This window comes from Homo sapiens, chromosome 15, assembly GCF_000001405.40.
Source record: "Homo sapiens chromosome 15, GRCh38.p14 Primary Assembly".
Lineage (NCBI taxonomy): Eukaryota > Metazoa > Chordata > Mammalia > Primates > Hominidae > Homo > Homo sapiens.
In genome coordinates, this window is record NC_000015.10 from 23911581 (window position 1) to 23915530 (window position 3950).

General features: G+C 37.0%; 1 long non-coding RNA gene across 2 annotated transcripts; it reads left to right on the plus strand.

Moving 5' to 3' along the window:
• Positions 1-837: 837 nt before the first annotated feature.
• Positions 838-3555, plus strand: LOC124903447 (uncharacterized). 2 transcript variants are annotated; one of them, XR_007064534.1, is made up of 3 exons: positions 838-951; positions 1488-2724; positions 3071-3555. It is a non-coding gene; the product is annotated as an uncharacterized LOC124903447 (long non-coding RNA). The 2 variants fall into 2 exon arrangements; XR_007064533.1 differs by lacking the exon at positions 838-951 and having other exon boundaries at positions 958-2724.
• The last annotated feature ends 395 nt before the right edge of the window (positions 3556-3950 follow it).

Genomic DNA, 3950 nt, shown 5'->3' on the forward strand with positions numbered 1-3950 from the left:
AAATAAACAGAAAAACCTGAGCTTGACTCAGCCTGTTTCCAGAATGCTTGCTCACATCAAATATGTTAGAGTATCTTTTATCTTATATAGTAAATACTTTATAGGTTTAGTTTAAGAATTGTTACTCTTCACCACAGTCATGAAGCTATCTTTTTAAGTTCTAAATAATGTATTAAATTGTTTTTATATTTAGGTCTGTGATCCATTTGGAATAGGTTATGTGTGTAATGTGAGACGGTAGATTTTATTTCCAATGACGCATATTCACATCCCTACATTTATTGAAAATTTATTTCCCCACTAATTTATCTTATATATTATTTGCCTATATATGCATGTGTTCGTTTTTAAGCTCTCTTTAATTTTTTTCCATTGATATTCTCCATCTTTGTGCAAATACTGAGTTAGTCCCTTCATTTAATGCAAGAATTTTCCTCCAGTGCCCTTTCTGTTGTCCACTGTACTGTTCTATAATGAAGTAAAAGAAGGGTGAAAATTTGCACACCTTACACCTACACCAGGATTCCCAGCTGTATCTTGAAGGAAGCGGAGGTTAGAACTTTCAAGATTAATGTCGACACTAATGTCTCTAATGTCCTTGTGAATCTTAGGCAATTCTCCCGAGATACTTTCTGCTTTATTGTGTGTGCGTGTGTTTAACGTTCTCAGTGAATTCCATTTGCTGTCAGGACTCCTGATTTTCTTTCCCTGCTTTTAGGATACTCAGTGACTTTCTACTCCCCTAGCAACAGCCAGCAGTGGTAGGAACCTGCACAGACAACCCCAGTACCTTGTGCGCGGGCGCAGACACGCCAAGGGTGGTGGGTTGCTTCCTCCAGACCACGCCCACCGATGCCGGCAGCAGCTGGTGCAGCGGAGCTCAGATCCTCTCTGTGGGGTCTGCACCGGCAAGGGCAGCTGCTCCCTGCCTTTCCTCAGGAGTCAGTGGAGGTAATAACTTGTTTTCATATAAAGAACAAGTTTGTTCAACAGTGATTTTGCCTGTTGACCAAAGACAGGACTCGTTACCCCTTAGGGCCTTGCTTGGTAATATGTGCTTTTGCTTTTTTTAGGTGGGGGTGGGTGGGCAGAGAGGCGCTCACGAATGTTTTTAAAACTTTTGTATAAATTTTCATTTTATTCGTAACATAAACATCATCTACAAGCAAATCCACATTCTGTTTTCTATATTAAGGCCTTTCATACTTGTGATTTAAAATGCATGCATTCATTTTTTTTCATTAGGTTTCAAATAATCGTTTCAATTATTTCCATGTTTTCAGGTATCACTCTTCACTATATTAAAAGATAATATCGCTTTTATTATTTTAAAGACATATATTATACATTCTCTGAGGATTTTCCAGAAATTTCCTCTGTAATACCTCTGGTTGGAAAGGTGAGGGACAGAGACTTTACTGGGAGTCACAGGAAAAGTCTGCTCAGTCTCCTGCTTAAAAAGAGCTCTGAATGTTTTTATTGCACAGATGAATTTTCTCTGATTGTCAGATGTTCACAAAGGCTTTAACTTGTATGAATGAACTCCGAGACCACCTTTCTGAATGCACAGACCTGCCACGTTGTTGCTGTGTAAGCATGAATTTCATCATATTGTCAGCTTTTCATCTTACCCAAAAGCTATAAACATTGGCTAAAGTCCTCAATTGCTTGCTCCTCATTTTTGTAAATGTGTGCATGGCATTTCCTTGAACAGATGGCTCATAAAACAGATATAAATTCTCTTTGATGAGTAAATACGAAAATTGTTTTCAGTTAAATAAAAAATGCCACTCAGAAAATTGGCAAATGCGTCTCCAGGCAGCAAATATTTTTAGATTACGGTCTTGTAGAAATATAATTACAATAAGTACTTATTTTGTTTTATCACATAGCATGTTTCAAAGAGGTTTTCATGCATGTTTCTTTTTCGGATTACCATTTTTATTGACAATAAGTTGCCCATCTTTCTATTTCTGATCTGATCTTTTGATGTCTGTTGTTTTTGTCTGAAGCTCTGACTCTCTTCTAATGTACTTTGCATATGAAGAGAAAGCTGGTTATCCTGACTAGTAAAGAAGGGATTATTGAACCTGAAACTGTGAAGAGACACAAAAGCAACAAGAGGACAGAAACAATTCAGGGCTTCAATAAGCAGAGTACAATCTATTTAGTGACTGCAATGTGGAAATCTCTAATGTCAGCAAGACTGTGTTGAGAGGAACACATTTTCTTGTGAGTGAGCATTCCTAGAGGATGAGTATCTTAGAGACTCAACGGCATATGTCTGCTATGCAAGTAATGAGTCCTCCATCTAATGGTGTACAAACTATTCTGGAAGGATCTGTTCAGGATTTATGAGGTGTTAGCAACCTACAGAGCAAGAACACTGATACTTTTTGGTTACTCCAAATTATTATTTATAAAATATTATTATAACTTGGTGTTTGTTTTGCCAGGTAAGACTTCAGTCAGGGGCTCTGAGGTCGGTACTGTATCCAGGGAATTTAAAGTCCAGATCTTAGTTTAAAAAAAATGGCCTGTCATCTTCACTCTATTATTGAATTAGAGCCTGACATCATTAATTTTAATTTTACTGAATATAAATAGCAACCCTATATTCTATGCATACTGTTTTGACTGTGGCATTTATTTAGAGAAGAATGGAGACAAGATGATTCCAACTTAAAGGAAACTGGAAGTATTCTGAGGAAACAAATAGAGAAGGTAAGCCTTACTGGTTTCTCCTTTTGATGGCAACCATCAAAAGGATGGTTATAAGTCTCTTATAAATAGAAAGCTCTATTTGAGTTATTCCATTATGGTAATCTTATCAGCAAACATAAGACATCATAGGAAAGGCAGGTTAGGGTCCAGGTGGGGAGGTTTTACCTGCTTATAGGCATCATTTCCTTCAGCTCTGATGGGGCATCCCCTTCATCGCTTGGGCTTATTGCAAGATGGCTGGGTCATTTCTTTTTGAAGTTAGGAATAAGATGAAAGCATTGAAGGCCAAGTTTATTTAAATGAATTTTACTTGTTTCTCACTTTTTCTTCTGTACTGCTCCTTTAGTTCTGTGACCCATGTTTTGGTGAAGTAATGATGACACAGGGATACCCTGCCTCATGAACGCTGGTGTGACTTCTCTCTTCTGTTCTTACCACTGGACATGATGGCTTGATGAAGTCAGGCCACCTCGCTCTTCTATGCTCTCAGTTCCATCTTCTCAACTCGGAAAGCCTGCCAAGGTCCTTACAACATCACAGCTGGGAAACTCTCAAAGCAGTAAACTTGGGCAATAGTAGGCTTCACTCACATCATTGTTGTGTATTTCCAGGTATCATTGTTCTCCATCATTTGGTGTACAGTACTTTAAAAAAGTTTCATATTCTTTGTCCATTTTTTTATTTATGTGTGATAAGGCATGTCCAGTTCCTATTAGTTTTTCCATAACATCTTGATTCATTCCTCCTGCAAATTCTCGATGATCACTCCATCCCTGGCTATATGCTTCTTGTTCACAGTGTAAAGGAGAATAAAGACCAATGTAAGCTAAACTCACAGAGAGATAGATAATTTTATTGGCATTTGTAATGCTAAAGAGAAGGTCAGAATTGGCCTATGTACAGTATCTGTAGAAGTTTCCATAGGGGACATCCACTAGAAGTCAGTGAATCAAACATTTAAAATGGATAATATCTCTAAAAAAATATACTGTCTCTGTCAATTATAATATTTGACTCATAATAGCCTTATTTTATACTCATTGAAAAAGCCCTTCAGAATTGGTAAGATGTAGCTTTTATTTACATAAAAATGAAAACATGTTGAAATTAATTTGTCAATGAATTTCTAAGGATACAATGATATTCTAATTTTTCTGAATCAGATCTTGATCCAGAGTCATGTATATCTTAACATCACTCTGTGGAATGAAGAGTGATACGAGTGA